Source organism: Homo sapiens, chromosome 1, assembly GCF_000001405.40.
Source record: "Homo sapiens chromosome 1, GRCh38.p14 Primary Assembly".
Lineage (NCBI taxonomy): Eukaryota > Metazoa > Chordata > Mammalia > Primates > Hominidae > Homo > Homo sapiens.
Genome location: NC_000001.11, coordinates 95,509,736 through 95,531,016, shown reverse-complemented (window position 1 = coordinate 95,531,016; position 21,281 = coordinate 95,509,736). Strand labels below are relative to the sequence as shown.

The 21,281-nt window shown below is 37.8% G+C and overlaps 1 long non-coding RNA gene across 2 annotated transcripts, besides 1 other annotated feature; it reads right to left on the bottom strand.

Moving 5' to 3' along the window:
* Nucleotides 11,954-12,879: an enhancer, noted in NCBI's record as "OCT4-NANOG hESC enhancer chr1:95983694-95984619 (GRCh37/hg19 assembly coordinates)". NCBI's record gives its function as "activates a minimal SCP1, AML or CMV promoter by ChIP-STARR-seq in naive and primed H9 embryonic stem cells {active_cell/tissue: H9 hESC(naive and primed)}" and the evidence as "EXISTENCE:reporter gene assay evidence [ECO:0000049][PMID:30033119]".
* LINC02607 (long intergenic non-protein coding RNA 2607) lies at nucleotides 15,553-20,901 on the bottom strand. 2 transcript variants are annotated; one of them, NR_110621.1, is made up of 3 exons: nucleotides 20,655-20,901; nucleotides 18,395-18,497; nucleotides 15,553-16,866 (listed from the first exon to the last, which is right to left on the bottom strand). It is a non-coding gene; the product is annotated as a long intergenic non-protein coding RNA 2607 (long non-coding RNA). The 2 variants fall into 2 exon arrangements; NR_110622.1 differs by lacking the exon at nucleotides 18,395-18,497.
* Nucleotides 20,902-21,281: the final 380 nt, after the last annotated feature.

Below are 21,281 nucleotides of genomic sequence, written 5' to 3'. Positions count from 1 at the left end.
GCTCAAGTTGTTCTTTATTACACCATAACTTTGCTCCTATAGCAACATGGTTGTAGCAGAAAAATAATTACGCCTGGGTGTTACATGCCAGATGTTTTTAAAGCAAAGGTGGCGGTTTAATTCTAAGCTAGTTTAAATGGTAGATATAAGAAGTACCAGAAAAAATACAAATAAAGGCGTTACAGAAAAGTAAGGTGAACTTAATTAGAAGCGTATATTCCTAGATACCATTTTTCTAAACCAGCACTACCCAATAAAAATATATGCTAGCATGTACGTAATTTTTAATTTTCTGATAGCCACATTTTTTAAAAGTAAAAAGAAATGAGCTTAATTTTACCAATACATTTTAACCCAATGTATCCAAAATATTATTTCAACATGAAACTACTATAAAAATGTATGATGAGTTATTTTACATATTTTTCTCTTGGGTTTTTTTTAATCTGCTGTATAATTTACACTTACAGCACATCTCAATTCAGAGAGCTAAATTTCAAGTCTTGATAGCCACATATGGCTGGTTCCTGGCTCCCATAATGAACAGCCCTGTTCTAGACTTTTCTCTTGTCTGCACTTAGTACTATAGCTAATCTCTCCCATCTAGTTTATAATAATACTCAGAGAAGATGACCCTAGGAAGGCGCTCCGGAATCATTAATCACTCTGAAACATCTGCATGTGTACTTTTCACAGAGGGCAGCTGAGTCCTTTCATTCAATCAAGATGATCACAGTTCTAAGTTCAACCCAGAAAATATTTTTTAAAAAAGCTTCTTTAAAAATCCTGAAGTCCAAAAATTGTGGCTCGATTATGCTATCTCCCTGTGGAAATGAAAAATATCCAGAGATAGGAGGTGGCAAGCCTGTAACTGGTGCAATCCACATTCTTGCCTAGCTGTGGGAGTTGAGGGGATGGAGGTTGCATGCACTTATAGTGAAATTAAAGGAAATAGTATACAGAAAGCATCAGGGCCTGCAATGTTTTCCTAGCAAGGAATTACCAAAGAAGAAAAGACTCTGTCTCTGCCCTCAAGCTCTAGGTCTACCTGGGATCCAGGGTAACAGGACAGAAGCCATGACATGAGAAGAACACAGGCAGAACCCAAGAAGTGGAGGAAATGGGATAAATCAACAGGATGGTTCTGAGTGTGGATTTGTGTGGTGTAGTCAGCCACCCCTCCCAATCCTAATCTTCACTTATCCTACTGTCCCTCCTTGAAACATTTGTATATGGATGAAATTTAAATGTTTTTTTGTTTGTGTGTTTTTAAATGAATATCAGCCTTAAAAAAGCAAATCACAAAAGAGCAACTTGCAGTGTAAGATGAAAAGAAAGGGAAGCCACAAGAGAGAAAGAACAGTCCTTTTTGGGGGCCAGGGAGGAGACATGGTACTAAGTTTGCCAATTGTACGTGTATTTTCTTTTTCTTTTTACTTTACCTGACAGTCATCTCTTAGTCTCTGTCTCTTCAACTGTCACCTATGAGGGCCACACACAAAACACAGTATTGGGGGAAAGGCCCCAAATTGCCTGCCTGGAAGACTTCTCTGATGGTGATGCAATGCAGAACAAAGGGAGGGTTTGCTGGAGTAAATGGTGCAAATTCAGCTGAGTTAATAAGATAAGGCAGTGAAGGAGGTGAGTCAGGTAGGGTTGGAAAGAAGTATTGGGACCAGGCTCTTGCTGGGTTCTATTATAATTGCATTTCTCCCAGCTACCTGTCTTCTAGGTTAGCTCACAGCCGGGTACTATTGGGTTCTCCCTGGTGGGACAGAACTGATGAGAATTCAATCAATTCCAGTTAGAACATAGCCAGTGGGGTACCATCAGTAATCTCCCAGAAAATAAACTTCATGAGGACAGAGCCTCTGTTTTGTTACATAGAGCCTAGACTAGTACCTTAAGAAATATTTAAAAGATACTTATTAGTAAATTTAACAAATATTTGTTGAATGAAGGAAAAGAAGGGAGACCAGCAGTTGCCAGTTTGGAGAATCAAGATTGGCCAGCATTGTGATATCCCCAGAGACAAGACAAGAGGGCCAATGAAAACCTACCAAGGCCAATTATGAGAACACATGGGAGAGAGGTCCTGGGGTGCTGCAGAAAGAAAATAGAGAATAAAAGAAATTTGGGGGTAATCATTCCTCAGGTTTGAAGTATAAGTGAAGTCAACTCATTTGTGGATCAATTTTTTTTCTACCTTCATCTGTATTGATTTATCACTTCTGTTAAGAGTCTACCCTGAAACCTAATCACTTTACTTTCAGTAGGCTAATCCTAGATTCACCCTAGAGGTCATTTTTAGTTACTCCTAATCATACTGCCTTCTAACAAGCCAAATAATTTCTCTCCATCTTTGATGTTTATGCCTTTCAAATATTTGTAGAGCGTTATCCCATCTCCCATTAGTTGTTGCTGAGCTAGGCTTTAAGGATTAAGCACATTTAGATCCTTTAAACCTAGTAAATGCCTCAGATCAATCCTTCCATTACTCTAACCATTTCTGAGGCTGTTCTTGTGAGCATCTTTAGAGTCTTTGTACATCTCTACACTACTGAGACATCTGTAGCTCAACTTGATATCCCCAAAAGAGCCTGACCAACATCATATTTTTCTTAAATCACCAAAAACAAATTTTTCTTAAATCACCTGCATCAAAAAATCCCAAAAGTGGATTATTTAAAATTAGATTCTTGGGTCATACAATTAAACCTAGTGAATCACTGAGAGACAGGTTCAGAAATTCAAAATGGTAAATTAACAAGATACCCCAGATTATTTGTAGGCACCTAAAACTTGAGGACCAGCTGCAGGAAGTCATTACTGAGAAATCCTCAATATAAACTTTGAATACCTTTTCTATATAGGCACGTAGGCCTGAAACTTTCAAAACATTATACACTATTATTTATGACTGTCCCACAAGTGAAGTCAGCATTGAGAAAGCAGCAAGGATCTCAGACATGCAAGAGGAGACAAATGTACCAGGTGCATTACTGGTTCTTTTCTCCATTGTACTGCAATGTCCAGATATTATTTACTTCAAGTTCATAGAATTGGGTTAACCATACCCTTGATTTATGGTACACTTTCATCATTAGTCCATACATGGCTCTTATTTATTTGCTTGCTTGCTTGCTTATTTAAAATATAATAAACACCAGTGATCTCACTACCTAACACAGAAATTAAAATATTCACAATAACTTACACTCTCCTGTGGGATTTTTTTTTTTTCTGTTGTTCCTGTCTCAGCTCTTCTTACTACACAATCTACAAGTGCAAGATCTGGGGCTGGCAGGGAACCTGCTGGGATATTTTATGGGATATTTTACAAGGTTCTTCCTTGCTACTGAAAAAAACATTTTGAAAAACACAGCAGTATGTAGACATGGGATGAAATGAGGAGAAATAATAAATAACACTGACTAAGCAGCTGTTTGTTCAACAAATGTCCATTAAAGTCCCTACTATGTGCCAGGTGCAATGGCAGGCCTTGGGGCTACAAAGATAGATGGCTCCTGTCCTCAAAGAACTCACAATCAGTTAGAGAGACAAACAAATAAATTCAGTCAAGTGCTACAGGGGTAACGAGAGAAATCTGTATGAGGGAGAAGTGAGACCCAAAGGATAGAGAGTCAGTTCTACTGGTGAAAAAAGAAATATCAGGAAAAGATTTTACAGAGAAGACAATCATGAAGCTGAGTCTTGACAGATGACTTTGAGAGAACTTTACAACAAAAATTTTAGTCTCAGAAATGAGACTGGAAAAAGACTGGTGTCAGTACCTTTAAATTCAAATTTTACTCAATGTTCACTTGGTTTCCAGAACTTCACTATCATCTGTGTAAGCCTACTGACACCAGGACACATGTGAGTCAGCCTCAGCAGTGCACAGTCGGCCAAATACTGTTCAGCAACCTGAGTAATATCAAAATTGCTCAGCTATTTTGGATTGTGTTTGAAGAGAATACATAGCCCACAGTTAATGTTTTTTAAAACTTTCATTTTTTTTCTCCCGTTTATTTTCTTCAAATGTTGGAACTTGTCTGGTACCATTCTCCTCAAAAACTTTCTTAAAAACAAAATAAACAAACAAAAACCTCATCTACATCAGGACTGAGCATTCCAGTTATTCTATACTTTCCACCTATCTTTCTTATTCTGTATCAAAACCCCCCAAAATCTGGCCTGACAATAGCAGAACACTACTCAGGGGCCAAGAAAGGCAAAGAAACTATGCAAGGAAAACTAACATCATGCTTTTTAAGATTAAGGGATGCAAAAATCTAAGAACATTCTTTGGTTATTTTTGTCTTCAAATAATTATTACATCCAAATATCTACTCTTCTAAAACAGTAGATTTATCAAAAAATATGTATAACTGTGACTTCTAATCAACCTGCTTCCTGAGAAGTTGAAGACTTTAAAAAAAAGAGAAAATTGTGGGAAGGCAGATAAGAACCAGATTGTGGAAGGCTTTGAATCCAAGCAAAGAAACTTGTCTTTGTCCCTTTGAGCTCCTATAACAAAATATCTTAGACTGTATCATTTATAAAAAACAAATTTATTGCTTACAGTTTTGGAGGATGGGAAGTACAAGATCAGGATACCAACAGATTCAGTGTCTGGTGAAGGCTGTCTCCCCACCTCATAGATGGCGCCTTCTCACTGTGTCCTCACATGGCAAGAAGGGCAAACAAGCTCCCTCAGGCCTCTTTTATAAGAGCACTAATCCTATGATGAGGGTGGAGCCCTCATAACCTAATCATCTCCCAAAGACCCCATCTCTTAATTCTACCACAATGGGGATTAAGTTTCAACACATGAATTTTGGAAGGGACACAAACATTCAGTCCATAGTATTCTGACCCTGATGCCTCCAAATTGATGTCCTTCTCACATGCAAAATACACTCATTCCACCCTAGTATCCCCAAAAGTCTTAACTTATTTCAGCATCAACTCAAAAGTCAAAAGCTCAGAGTCTCATCTAAATATCGTCTAAATCAGACATGGGTAAAACTCAAGGTACAGTTCATCCTAAGGCAAATCACTCTCCAGGTGAACCTGTGAAATCAAACAACTATGTGTCTCCAAAATATCATAGGCATAGGATTGATATTCTCGTTACAAAGGAAAAAAGATAGGAAAGAAGAAAGAGGTAACAAGTCCCAAGTAAATCCAAAATCCAACAAGGAAAAAAACATTAAATCTTAAGGATGAAGAATAATCTTCTTTGATTCTCTGTCCTGCCTTCTGGGAGGGGGTGGTTGGGCCCCCAAAGCTCCAGGCAGCCCCATCTCCATGGCTTTGCTGAGCACAGCCCACACTGCAGATTTCGTGGGTTGATGTCACCTGCCTATAGCTCTCCCAGGCTGGAGTTGCACTCTGTTGTCTTTACCATTCTCATTCTGGTGTCTTGGGGATGACCCTGCTTCTATGGCTCCACTAGACCATATGCTAGTGAGGGCTTTCTGTGGTTGCCCTACTCCTACGGCAGTTGTCCGCCTGAACCAGGAGGCTCTATGGGGCACCCTATAAAATCTAGGTGGAGGCAGCCATTATCCAACAGCTCATGCACTCTGAGCACCAGTGGATATGGCACCATGTAGATGCCACTAAAGTTTACTGTCTATGCCCTCTGGAGGAGCAGCCATAACTGCACCAGGCCTGCTGGAGCTGAACCTGGTGGGGAGCCAAGAGTACTGCACTGGAATGCATGCAGCCGAGCCTTGAAGTGGTGCTGGGCAGTAAGACCCAATGTTTCATAGACCCCTTCCTTGAAGTCATTCTGCCCTCAACCAACTGGCACTCCGAACTGTGATGGGAGTGGCAGCCCCAATTATCTCCAAAATGCCTTCAGGGTCACACTTCCATTGTCTTGATGAACAGCACAGGGCCAATCTATACTGATCTTCTTATCCACACTCTTGGTGTTCTTGGTCCCTATTATGGTTTGAATGTGTGACCTCTCCAAATTTAAACTGAAAAGTAATCCCCATTATAGTAATATGGAAATTGGCTCAGCTTCCCCAAAGAACTGATGGTTACAGTTTTTGAAAAAACATAGAGTTGACTGTCCCAGTCTTAAACCTGGAAACTTACATTTGTCTTATCTGAGTTCCTTTCTCAAGAAACCTCAGGCCTCCCAGATAGTATCAAGGAACTGAAACTCACCAGAAGACTGCATCTAGACAATGAGACACAAGGCCCCTCATTCATCATGATTGTGTCCTTATCCCTCAATAATTCCTATTTTCCTGCACATAACTACTCTCCTTCCCCACTATATAAACCCCCAATTTTAGTCAGTTGAGAGGGAGATGGGTTTGAGGTTTGGCTCCCATCCCTCCAGCTGACATCACTCATAATATAATAAAGCCTTCTTCTCTGGCAATACTTATTGTCTCAGTGATTGGCTTTTGGTGCAGTGAGCAACCAGACCTAGACCAAATGCCCAGCATTTTGGTAATAGTATTAAAGAGGTGGGACCTTTGGGGAAATGGATTAGTGCCTTATAAAAAGGACAGAGGAAAACAGCTTCAGTCCTTTTTTAGCTCTTCTGATCTTCTGCCATGTAAGAACACCTAGATGGTGAGGAACAAGCTTTCACCAGATGCTGAACCTGTTAGTGCCTCAATCCTGGGTATCCTAGTCTTCAGAGCTATGAGAAAATAAATTTTTTTTCTTTTTAAGTTACCAAGACTCAGGTATTTTCTTATAGCCATACAAAAAGATGAAGACAGTCATAAACATGCATTCCTATTTGTTACAATATAGTCAGGATGAGAATTTTCCAAGTATTTAAGTTCTGCTTCCTTTCTGATTATAAATTCTATCTTTAATTCATTTCTCTCTCCTAATTTTTACTGTAAATAGAAAAGAAATGTTATGCCATAACTTCAACACTTTGCTAAAATATTTCTTTTACTAAATATCTATTTCATCACTCAGAAAGTCTACCTTCCAAAATGCATTAGGATTCACACAACTCAGCCAAGTTATTTGCCACTTTAAAACAAGGATGGCCTTTCCTCCAGTTACCAACAGCATGTTCCTTATTTACATCTGGACCTCACCAGAATGGTCTTTACCATCCGAATTTCTATCAACCTTTTGATTGCAGCTACTTAGATAATCTCTAAGAAGATTGAGGCTGCTCTAAAGCTCTCTTCTTCCAAGCTGTTATCAGAACCATCCTTAATGCACTATTTACAGCATTTTAGGTTTTTTTAGCATGAACTTCCAAACTCTTCTGGTCTCTATTCATTACCTAATTCCAAAGTTGCTTCCACATTTTTAGGTATGATACAGCAACACCCCATTTCTTGGTGCCAATTTCTGTCTTAGTCCACGGTTACTATTACAAAATATTTGAGAGTATGTAATTTATAAACCACATAAATATGTTGCTTATGGTTCTAGAGGCTGGGAAGTCAAAGATCAAAGTGCCAGCATATTCACTGTCTGGTGAGGGTTCTCTCTCAGCTTCAAAACTGGTGCCTTCTTGTGGCATTCTCACATGGTAGAAGAAGAAAACAAGTTCCTAAGCCTCTTTTATAAGGGCATACATTCTGTTCATGAGGGCTCCCAAAGGCCCCACTTCTTAATACTACTACGTTGGGGATTCAGTTTCAACATATTAGTTTTGGGGAGACACAAAATTGACACATGTAGACCATAGCAGAGCTTAAATTTTATACTTTTATCAATGAATTAATCAAAGTGTTTTTACAGAGAAACATCTTGGGAAGACGATGCATCAAAAAAATTAGAGGAGTGGGTTTGTATTAGTCTGTTTTCACACTGATGAAAAAGACATATCTGAGACTGGGCAATTTACAAAAGAAAGAGGTTTAATTGTACTTACAGTTCCATGTGGCTGGGAACCCTCATAATCAAGGTGGAAGGCAAGGAAGAGCAAGTCACCTCTTACATGGATGACAGCAGGCAAAAACAGAGATTGGGGAGGGAACCTGCCCCCCACCCTTATGATACTGTCAAATCTTGAGAGACTTATTCACTATCACAAGAACAGCATGAGAAAGACCTGCCCCATGATTCAATTATCTCCCACCAGATCCCCCCCACAACATATGGGAATTCCAGATGTGATTTGGGTGGGGACACAGCAAAACCATATCAGTTATTAAGCTACTAACAGTTTATTATTTGTCTTCCTTAGTGTTAGGTATAAATCCAAATATTTCAGGGTGAGATTATTGCTTCTTTTCTCAAAGCACTTGAGTTTGTCAATCACTGCAAGGAAGGATGGACTCCATATCTTGTTTTGTTTAACTTCCAAAGCTATCTTCTACTCAACACCCATTTTACCTCCTTCCTACACTAGGAATATGCTTTTTTCCACACAAGTCAACAAACGAGGCTCCCTTTCTTTGAAGACTATCTCAAAACCTATTCTTTCTACATTCAGAGTAAATAATGGGCATGTACAGACTCTGAATCTTTCTTTTGTTCTTCATGTTTCCATTCATTTCATGATGTCAACTCTTCCTTTTTACATCTCCTCCACTGTTTCTTAAATGTAAATTTGCCTGACATGTTGATGCCATGTTTTAAAAATACTACTTGGCTGGTTGAGAGTAAAAAGAAAAAAAGAAAAGAAAAGAAAAAAACCTTTTCTCTTTTGGGAATATTCATTCCAAACTCGATACCATATTGTAGCTGCTATGACCCAAATGTATCCCCTCTACAATTCTTATATTGGAAACTGAATCCTCAATGCAACAGTGTTGGACGGTGGAACCTTTGGGGAGTTATATAGGTCATGATGGCTTAATGCTGCCATAAAAGGGGTTTGTGAAAATGAGTTCTCTCTCTTCTGCTCCTCTGCCTTGTAAGGACACTGAAAGAAAGCCCCAACAGATGCCAGAGCCTTGATCTTGGACTTCCCAGCATCCAGAAATGTCAGAGAACAAATTTATGTTTTTTATAAATTATCTAGTCTCAGGTATTATGTTACAGCAGCACAATATGAACTAAGATTTATGTTTTTTATAAATTATCTAGTCTCAGGTATTATGTTACAGCAGCACAATATGAACTAAGATAGTAGCTTAGCCCCAAATATATGAGATTGGCTTTTATCAAAATATAAAGATAGAATTATTAAAAATTTTTAAGTTTGAAGCAAAAGTGGAACTGATAATTTGGGATGAATTAGAATTCAGTCATCAATACAATAATAAGCTCTCCCTTCTGAGTGAGCTGGAGATGCTTACTTTACTTCTTCATGTGCTCTAGATGTACACCTCACTACAAGCTTCTTTTAAATCTATTGTGACAGTCTCTGTCTTTTAATTGGTAAGTTTAATTCATTTGCATTAAATGATTACTGATAAGGAAGGAGTACTTCTGCCATTTTGCTATTTGTTTTCTATATGTTTTATATATTTTTTGTTCCTCAATTCTTCCAACACTATCTTCTTTTGTGTTTGATTCACTTTTTTCTAGGGTACTATTTTTATTTTCTCCTCATTTCTTTTTTTGTATATTTTCAAAGTTCTTTTCTTAGTAGTTACCATGGAAATTATAACTAACATACTATATCTATAACAATCTAGTTTGAATTGAAACCAATTAAGCTTTAATAGAATACAAAAACTCTGTTTCTATACCTTTCTGTCTCCACCAAGTTATTGTACAAAATTTATACTTATATATTTCATGTCCATTAACATAGAATTTATAATTACTGTTTTATGTATTTGTCTTCTAAATTATATAGAAAAACCAAAAATAAGTTACAAACAAAAACACAGTAATCCTGGTGTTTATGTTTACCTTTATGGTTACCTTTGCCAGAGTTATGTATTTCTTCATATGGCTTCTTTTTTTTTTTTTTTTTTTTTTTTTTTGAGACGGAGTCTCGCTCTGTCGCCCAGGCTGGAGTGCAGTGGCGCCATCTCGGCTCACTGCAAGCTCCGCCTCCCGGGTTCACGCCATTCTCCTGCCTCAGCCTCCCGAGTAGCTGGGACTACAGGCGCCCGCTACCACGCCCGGCTAATTTTTTGTATTTTTAGTAGAGACAGGGTTTCACCGTGTTAGCCAGGATGGTCTCAATCTCCTGACCTCGTGATCCGCCCGCCTCGGCCTCCCAAAGTGCTGGGATTACAGGCGTGAGCCACCGCGCCCGGCCCATATGGCTTCTAATTTTTGTCTAGTTTCATTTTATTTTAGCCTGAAGGACTCCTGTTAGCATTTCTTGTAGGCAAAGTCCATTAGTAACGAATTTCTTCAGGTTTTGTTTATCTGGGAATATGTTAAGTTCACTTTCATTTTTGAGGAATAGTTTTGCCAGAAATAGAATTCTTGGTTGACTTTTTTTCCTACTAGCACTTTAAATATGTCATCCCACTGCCTTCTCTCCTCCAAGCTTTCTGCTGCAAAATCAGCTGTTAATCTTATTAAGGACCCTTGTATGTGATAAATTACTTTCCTTTTGCTGCTTTCAATATTCTGTCTTTGTCTTCGTTTCTGATTGTTTACTTTCATGTGCTTAGTTAGATTTAGGTTTGTCTCTAACAAGGTGATCCTATAAAAGGCTAGAAGTAAGTGGACTGATGTTTTTAGTTTGTTAATCTTTCATTCTGTAGCAAGCAGCAATTCCTTTGACATATACCTGTGTTTCTTCCTTTCTACACTTTTATCAGAATGGGCCTAAATACTTGATCTTTACCAATTTTCCCCTAGACCTATAGGACAGCATTTGTAAAGTATGCCAAAATTAATGTTGACAAAAAAAAAAAAAGTAGTACGATTCCTTTTTATTTCAGTATTCCAGTGGTTCCTTTTGAGGATTAATGAGTTAAATCTTGCAAACCTCTCTAAAGTATTAGGATATTAGATATTACTGAGAAGATGCAAGAGCCGTATGTTAAAAATTAATTGCAGGAAACCACTTGCAGATTGTAATAACGAAACATCCCAAGTTCCAAGGGCACTGGGGACTTCAAGTAAACAAGCCCTCATTAATTTGGCTAATTAGTCACTTGCTGTATTTGCTGGTTTGTAAGCAGCACCCTTTTAAGCAGAAAATTGAGCTGTAAAGTGCTAAGAGCCATATGTGTGGTAAAGATGGTACCAGTATACTATACTTTGGATTTCAAAGCATATCTCATATATTCAAAAATATATTTAGGATATTTGGACATTTCAGACTCATTCACATAACCTAAATGGACAGAGAGAAGCTTCAGGAAAACAGGCCCTGCTCTATTGGTGGCAAGAAAGAGCGAAGGTTAGGAAAAAACTGAAAGAAGTAACTGTTAAATTTTTTTCTCCAAGGAAGGCCAACAGGCTTTTTCAGACAGGACCTCACACACACAGGCAGCACCTTGTGATTGATTATTGTGGAATCAAGAGAAAGAGAAGAGACATCCCTGTGACTGGCAAATATACAGCTCCATATATGTCAATACCTGGGAACCTTGTCCCATAATGATAGTGGAGGAAATTACATATCTCATGCACACTACGGTAAAGCCTACTGAACTATTCTGCCACCAAGCAGAGCCTCAGTCTAGTGAACTGAATGCTTATGTCCACCAGCTATGAGGTCTTCCTTCCTTAAACTAGGCTAAAAAACACAGACAGTCCTCAATTTACAATAGTTCAGTTTACTATATTTCTATTTTATGACAGGTTTCCTGGAGTATTAAATTCATTTTCAACCTATGATATTTTTGACCTATGATCGGTTTATCAGTACATAACCCCATTATAAATTGAGCATTATCTGTACTGGGAAAGTCTTACTTTCCGTTTCTTTCCATATCAACTTACAGTAGCATCATCAATTCCATGGCTTCCTGATTGGCAGCTGGAGACTCTGGTTCAGATAGCATCACATTTATAAGCCAGCTCCCAGGGTGGGTCAGACCTACAGGTGGCTAATAGCATCCATCATGTGTTCAATTTTATTAATTTCAATCACTGAAAATTTTTCTTGAACTGGTTCTCAAGGTAATCCATTAATTAAAATTCAATTTAAACATCACTGAACACATGTTATATACAAAACCACTAAATTATAGATTAAAGAGTACAACGATGAATAAGATATTTTCTATTTTAAAGGGCTTAAAATTTGCCTCTGCTATGACCAGTTCATCTGCAAGACAAAGAGCATGTTACAGGTAGTCAGATACAATGGCTGACTTCTAGTCATCTAGGAAGCTGAAACTTTCTTAATTCTAGAGTTACTTTGAAATTCATGATTCCAAATGCATTAATTCAAATGATTTCTCATACAACTCTCACACCTTCCACCACCGTGTTTGTCCCAGAAGTTCTCTATCTGCTTTCCAAACACAGTTCAGGTGGACCAGAGCTGCAGAGAAACTGTAGGCATAAACAGGGCTTATTTAGTTGATACAAAGAGCAAACGTAAATATCCCTTTCAGCAGGCAAAGAGCTAGAATATATTTTTGAGTGTTGCTAATGAGTGGAAGAAGCAAGCTGCTTTTATCATGCAGTGGTGCAAATTAGATATTTATGGGTTTCCTGTGGTGTTCAAGGTGTTGCTCCTTTCCAGTATTTTAGGAAGGAAAGCTTTGTGTTCTAAGAATAGCCTCATTGATGATTCTCCCTTGGGCACAGAAGTATTCTAATCTGGAAGTAGTAAATTTTATCTGAAGAGCCTGAATCTCTTAGTAGTATAAAGTGTACCTTAGGCTTTGGGAGCTTTTTTAGTGTTTTTTTAAAATAGCTTTATTAAGATATATTTCACACACCATACAGTTCACCCATTTCAAGTGTACAATTTAATGACTTTTAATATGTTTACAGATTTATGCAACCATCTCCACAGCAAATTTTAGAACATGTTCATCACCTCAAAAAGAAATCCTGTACCCTTTAACTACTACCCTGTCTTCCCATCCCCCACCACCAAGCAACTACTAATTTACTTTCTGACTGTATAGAATTCTCTGTTCTGGAAACTTGATGTGAATGGAATGATATATGTGGCCCTTTGTGACTGGCTTCTTTCACTTACCATCATGTTTTCAAGGTCCATCCATGTTATAGCATGTATTAGCATTTTATTCCTTTTATGGCCAGTTCCACTGTATGGATATGCCACATTTTGTTTGTTCATTTATCAGTCGATGGTCATTTGAGTTATTCCCATCTTTGGCTATTATGAATAATGCCATTTGTGTACAAGTTTTTGTTGAGGCATATGCTTTCATTTCTCTTGGGTATATATATGTAGAAATAGAATTGCTGGACCATTTGACATTTAAAGCAGCTGCACCATTTAACATTCCCATTTACATTCCCAGAAGGGTATGAGGATTGTTTTCCATATATCCTTGCCAACAACTTGTTACTGACTTTTTAAATTCTAGCCATCTAGTGGGTTTGAGAGAGTATTTCATGATTTGATTTGCATTTTTCTGATAACTAAAGATGAAGAGGATCTTTACATTTGTTAATTGGCCATTTATATCTCTTCTTTAAAGAAACATTTATTCAAGTCTTTTGCTCATTTTTTAAATTGGTTTATTTATCCATTGAATTGTAAGAGTTCTTTATATTTCTGGATACAAGCCTCTTATCAGATACATGATTTGCCAATATTTTCTCCCATTTGGTGGGTTATTTTTTTACTTTCTTGATGGTGTCCTTTGGAGCACAAATATTTTTAAATTTAATTAAGTTTTGGAGAATCTTTGTAGCCTGGTACTTTTGACAGCCTAGCAACATGGGTCAGCTTTTGACATTACCTAGCTCCCTCACCCTCCTCTGTGAAAAGACCACCTTGGAATCTTTCCACTCACCTCCACACCACTTCCTTTGCCCCTTCAGCCTCAAGCCATAATATTCATCTTTCCATTTTTCAGGCATGCAAAGCTTTTTCCTACATTTAAAACTTGACATTTGAGTCTCAGTTCCAATGTCACTTCCTCAAAGTAACCTTCCTGGGCACCCAAGCAAATTATCCCATTTCATCATTATCACATCTCTTTAATTTTCTTTGTAACACATATCTTTATTTATTTATAGAAATACTAAAATATTCCATCAAAATATAAGCTGCATTAGAGAAAGAATCATATCTACTTTCTTCACTGCTATGTCCTAAGTACCTAAAATAGTGACTGCCACATAGTAGGTTCTCAATGAATATTTCCTGAGTGATCAAATGAATCCTCTAGCCCAGACATTGTGCTAGGGACTAGAGGAAAAAGAGTAAATAATACTGATTCCCCAAACAGGGCTGGAATCACTTTAGAAATATACTTTGTGATTAGTGTTGTGGGAGAGGTATATGGTTATTAGCAGAAAATTCATTTAGCAGGATGAGTTAACTATTTATCTTATTAAAATAAAAAATCTTTAAAGCAGTTGAGACAGATGAACAAACTTGCTCTGCAAATACTCAGAACTCCTTTAATTGAGTTTATTATGCCCCCACACACATTACCACTAGTAGAGAGAAATGAAGAAATCTGGCTGTACTCTCTTCCTTCACCCCTCACTATCTGATAATAGTAATAATCATCATAATAAAATAACAGCAATAACGCTTTTTTTTTTTTTTAATTTACTGCTCTGGGGAAGAAGCAGGAAAAAGCTCACCCCTCTCTGATCCGGTTGAAAACACCATGGTACTTGCCAGGCAGCTGGGTTCCAGTCCCAGCATTCCTAGAGTTAGTTGTGTAAACTTAAGTCTTGTGTACTTTTTTAAAGTACTTTTTTTAAGGTTCCCTCTTCAGTGACTTTTAGTTATTAAGATGTTTCTTATCTAATTTATAAAATTTGTATGAGGATCAAATAGGGTAGATGTAAAAATGCTTCCAGCTTCTCCAGGACAGAGAATGTGCCATAATCAGCTCAGCATTCTCAGAAACACCCACATTTGATCAGGTGTTAAGATAGTTTCTAAAAGAACCCATGCTCATATACACCATTTTCTTGCTTCAGTGATTTTCTCAGCCTAGGATATTCTTTCCTTTCCCATCCCCACCCCACTGACTCTCTTCCATGCCTTAATGTTTGTGTAAACATCCTTTCTTTCTGATGAATGCTGGTTTTGATACTCTGCACTCTAACATCCTCAATGCTAACAGCGATGTAGGAACCAAGAGCATCAAGATTAATTGAGATGACTCAAGATACACCCTGTAATAAAAACCACACACAACAATCTATCAAACAATGAGAAAGCAATAAACAAAATGTCAGTAGTAAGTCCTTATCTACTAATAATTACCTTGGTTGTAAAAGGATAAAGGTCTCTGATCAAAATACATAAAGTGGCTGGGATGGATTAAAAAAAAAAAGAGCCAACCCAACTATCTGCTGCCTACAGGAGACTCACTTTACCTATAAGGACACACAGACTGAAAATGAAGGAACAGAAAAAGATATTCTATGCAAGTAGAAACTAAAAGAGAGCAGGAGGAAGTATACTTGTATTAATATCAGGCAAAATAGACATTAAGTAAAAAACTGTAAGGACAGACAAAAGGAGAGACAAAGAAGGCCATTCTCATAGAAAAAGGAGTAAAATGGTGGTTACAAGAGGCTTTATTATGGGGTGTTTGTGGGGTGGGGTTAGAAAGATGTTGGTCAAAGGGTACATAATCACACTTAGATAGGAGAAATTAGTTCCAGAGATCTACCATTCAGCATGGTGACTATAGTTAATATACTGTATTCTTAAAAAATGCTAAGAGAGTGAATATTGTATTCTCACCTCAAAAATAATAACTATGTGATATAACACATTTGTTAGTTAGCTAGATTTAACCATTCCACAATGCATATATACAGTCATGCACCATATAACTATGTTTTAATCAATGATGGACCTCATATACTATAGTGGTCTCATAAGATTGTAATACCATATTTTTACTGCATCTTTTCTATATTTAGATATGTTTTGATACGCAAATACTCACCAGTATGTGACTATTGTCTATAGTATTTAGTACAGTAGCATGTTATACAGGTTTATAGCCTAGGAGCAATAGGCTACATTATGTAGCCTAGGTGTGTAGTAGTTTATACCACCTAGGTTTGTGTAAATACACTCTATCATGTTTATACAATGACAAAATTGATGGATTTCTCAGAACATATCCTTATGACACAGGACTGTACTTCAAAATATTGTGTTATACATGACAAATACATATAATTTTATAAGTCAATTCTTTAAAAATAAATATTTTTAAGAGAAAGAAGTACATACACATACTCTATAACAAACCAGGAAGAACACACAATGTGTTTCCAAGTTTCCAAATCCTAAAGAGCTGATGGTAATTCTTAATCAGTGTGGCCACTATGAGCCGGTCTGGCACATTCTTCTTGTAGTCTCTGTGATGCTTCTATCTGCCCATGCTGCTCACCTCCTCTGCCATCTGCCTTAATATGCTCCCTCTTTTATTCAGAGTTTGTTTCAGAAGCTGTTAGTCTTTGCTTATGCGTGTTTGCAAACCACATATAGTTGTGCAGGTTGTGCACATAAAGAAGCACTGGGCAAGGGAAGGGAAAGATGGGATTGAAACCCAGCCTTCCCTCTGTCAGCCATGCCAGGAGGAAAAAAAAAAGTCTTTTTAAAACCTGTCCACCCAGAGGCAGTAACATTTTGCAATTCACAGTGTATAAGCTTACAGTGGCTCTCTTCTCAAAATACCCATTGAAGAATTCAGTCTTTATTTAATTTCTACAGAAGACTGTATCCCTCCAAGATCCTGGATAAAGGGACTGGCTCCACGATGCTGGCTTTGCTTCTCTCTACTCTCATGTTTCTGGTATGGGGACCATGGTCTCCATGTAATGTGCGCTCTCTCCTCTTAGTCAGTGTTCAGCGCCCTGAAAAGGAAGCAGTTTTGAAACCTTTTGGTGAAAAGCTCATTTCTTCATAGGAATCTGAATTGAGAAGTAGGTTTTCTCCAGATAACACTTCTTCTGTTACACAAGTCACTCCTCTCATTGGTAGCAACTGGGGTTTATATAGTTAAATTATGTAATGCTCAACATTATATAGGCTACGTATGCATCAAAGCTAAAATCCAGCATCTAACAAGGAAGGCTGTGATGAATTTTGCCCCTATTTGTTTTTCTCTATTTCCTTTCCTTGAAATGCATCTCACAATGTTGGGGCGAGTAGTAAAATAACTATATAATGTCTGACTCAATGCCAAAGAGGAATAAAACCATTTGCAATGTTTTTTCAATATTTCTCTAAGATCTTAATGAAATTTTAAGTTTAAAGGAGTTCAAAACAATTTAAGTAATACAATATTACACAAGGAGGTTTTCATTGAAGCCAAAAACTTCATCATTATTAAAATTAAGTATGTTGTTATTAAAAGAAGTTTTCATAGGAGCCCAAAATTTTATTATTATTAAAATTAAGTATGTTGGTATTAAAATAAGTGGGCTTCTTTTAAATGAACTGAAATGTAAAAAAATTACTTCACATTTAAGTCCAAGACAGCATGAAAGAAGAAGAAAATAAATGCTGAAAGGATTAATATAAGAAATAACAGAACTGTTTTATATCTATCATTCTTTGTGTTTTCCCCCTTCTTCTTGAAAGCAAAGATACTATAACAAATAAAAGTTTAATAAGTAAAAAATACATGTTAAATGAAAAACCATGATTAACTTATTAAGGACCATTAAGTATATAATTACAAGGATTCTATTACATTAAGATACCAATTTCTTTAAAGCCAGAAATAATACCTACTGAAACTTTAATTATTTAAATGAGAAGAGAAAGAGGCATGTTATCTTCTCTGACAAAGATTAAAATCAATTTAATTGCTTCTCTGCTGCCTTGACATGATTCTTGCTGTGAGTCAAGCAACCAAAAAGGGAAATTAATACCGCAGCTGTTAATCAAGTGATATCCCTGCACTCCATTTGATTACATCAGGGAGAAAACCATTGCTACTTGGCTGACTTGTGTGTCTATACCCCTTTTTTGCTGTAGTTGGGTTAGCTATGAGAAATGCTGAGGCTGGACTTAATTTTTAGAGCCTGTGATAGTGCTAGGTGAGGCACAGCCTCAGGAAATTGCAGGTTGCTGTGTTTGAGCCCGGGCAAAGGCAGTTCTATCAAGACAGAGGTTTGTTCCAAATTAAATTCACCCTTTGGTGCCTGATTCTACTGTCCATGGTGTGAAGTACAAAGAAACACAAGGGCACTGGCGGAGCTAGAGAATGAGAAAGAATATGAGAGTGTAGCTAAGATTGATGCTTTTTTGCCCATAGAACATAACAATATATTTTTCAAGGTAGACAGCAGCAGTTTCTAGAGGTCAAATACCAACTCCCTCTCTCAAATTAGGACATGCATTTGAAAGCCAGGTACAATAACAAGTGATGCTTACCTCAAGGCCCCCCCAACTCATATCCTCTGATTTTAAAACCGGGCTTTTGTTAAACACTAGTGCTGAATGAACATCCAGCAGCATACTTGGCAAACTAATGTATCTGATTGTAAAAAAAAAAAAATGGTATTGTGAAATATTTATGAGTCTGGAAATACAAACCAGTACCCCGTCTCATCATCTCTTATCAGCCCTTGTTAACTTTACAGATGATGAGAGACACTGGAATAACTGGGGTTGCCAAAACTAATAGATCTCAGGCACTTTGCACCCACAGAGTTCAGTTTCATCAAGGGCCCTTTTTTCAGGAACTTTTAACTCTCCCCCTTCCTGTTTGCCTTCTCTTATGAGAGATAGAGATAGATAAGAACACTTCTCAATCTCAAACATATATACTCAGGAAGAGAAAACTCTTCTGAGAACCTTATCCTTTTCCTACATAGGAAAAAAACTCAAAGTGGGGATTGAGGAATTTGGTTCCTAGGGAAATGTTTTGCATTTGAGCTTTTTAAATATCCCTCCCAGTACTGTGGAAGGATCATAAGGAAAAATGCCCATCCAGACCAGTTGCAGGAAATGCTTCTATATAACAGGAAACACAGAAAGGCAGAAAAAAAAAATTCTGTCCTCCAAAGATAACCCAATGTTTTTTTACATTTCAAAAATATAATCACTGGCTCAGGTCAGCCCAAGGGACAGGTTAAGATGCCCATCAGCTTTTATTTTATCCGAGTCCAGTTCACCTATCCCCAGGACCTGTAGATGACTTTGCCTGGCTCTTTTTCATCAAATACAACTCATCCTACTATATTGGATCACCTTGCTGTTAGCCTGGCACTGTCCCTCCCCATTTCAATTTGACCAAATTGAAACAGATGCCCAGAGGCCGTGAAGATCAAGACTAGTATAACAAAATTTGGAGCCAGTTTCCAAGTTTAAATCAATATTTAACGGTAAGCCTGCTTTTATTTATTTATTTTTTGGCAGGCTTTTACTGGCAAATATCACTTTAAACTGAAAGCCAGAAGCCTTAATTATAAAGGATGCCATTCAGGCTACATTTTGAAAAACAATAACTCATTTGACAAGACAACCTGGTAGTTTACCGGATTGCACTCCCCAGAAGAAGGCAAGGAGGAGGGTGGTGTTGTTTTCTATATCCTTCAAAGATATATTTAATTACCTCATCTTCAAGCATGCAGAGACAATTCAAATAGGGTAGAAGGAGAGGGAAATGGGGGAGTGAAATCAATTCACTGTCTCAGTCAAATCAAGCAAAAGCCCCATGACTACCTGCAACATGAGAGGCAAACATTTACGGAGGTGGGGAGGGATCACCCAAAGAGCTTATACAGATGGACCCTGGCTAGAATGAGGACCTGTGAGGATGCTATTCCTGAGTGACCTTTATTTCACCTCACTGCTCTCCAACATGTGTGCTAAATCTCCTCTAGATGAGTCAAACAACAGGACAATTGGGAAAGAAGTGACATGACATCAAAATATAAGCCCCCCTGGGCTTGCCAAACTCAGCAAGACCTACCTAGAGATCTCACTTCTTCAGTATAATTTTTGGAATGAGTTTCAGGGGCCAAAAGTCTCTTTTTGCCTTACCTACTTTGAAGTCATAGCAAAACAAAAACAGGTGATCCATGTAAGCAGTTGCTAAACATAAAAAAACAAATGCACACACAAGGTTTACTAAATGAATCCACATCCAACTTAGCAAGCATCACGTCAGAGCTAATAATTGGTCATTAATCTCAAAGAATCTATTTCAAAATGTGCAGTCAGAAATTAGCAAGCAGGAGCATATGTTCCACAACTACAGACTCTACGAGTGTATCTTGTAACGCTGCCATTTACCTTCAAGAGAAATTTGCGATTTTCTAAAGAAGAAAGTTGTCAATCACTTACGTACATAGAATTTAGGGTGGGGGATTGGGAGAGAGACCACAATATAGCTCACCAAGAAACAGAAGGGACTCAGAACAATCATGTAAAGGAGAAAAGAAACCAGTTCCAGTCCTCACATGGGCACCGAGACTGTTTCTGCCCTGCCTGCCAGAACACATAATCAGGAGGGGTAGCCTTTCTAAACATTGCCTCTTTCTGTTGTTACATTGTTTCACAAATTCAGACAAGCCTCTAGGTATCATTCTCTTTTTTCTGTGAAGTAAAAATTCCTAAAGACTTCTTCTCCTTAAACCTTTACCATCCCCCTACCCCCCGCCCAGGCCTTCTAAGAGACAACACTTGCCTTCTGCTTTTCCTCCAGCTTCTGGGCAAAATAAAGTGCCTTCCATGGGATGTCTTCCAGACCGTCCTGTAGGATCTCACACCCACCTCTGTGAGCAAACCGAGGGGGGCACCCCATCTACATTGACACGAACACGATTGTAGGGCTTTAATTTTATTTCGTCGACTTCCCTTTGCAGCTTGCCTGTCTCTCCCATGTCTGCCACCCGCAGCAGGAGATTAAAAGAACAGAGGAGGTAGGAGCTCTTGTGAGAACCACGGGAATTTTGGCAGAACCTTTATGGGAACCATATGGCAGCAACTCTGAAGTACATGAAACATTTCTAAGGGAGAAGAACTCTATTATTCCCAAAGAATGTTTCTCATCTGACTCAAGTGCACTGAGCACCCCTGCCAAAGGATGGGAATAATATTTTCTGGAAAGACTGTATGGATGCAGATTATATCTGATCTCAATGTATCTAATAGTAGCAGATCAGCATTATACCCCACAATCTATTAATAAAGGGAAAAGACAATATGTGTGTTTCTGATATTCCCTAGCTATTCATAACCTTCCTATAACACATTTTACTCATCTTTTGCAATGAAGGGACTGGATAAGATAAGTGCCCTTCAGTTTTTTATC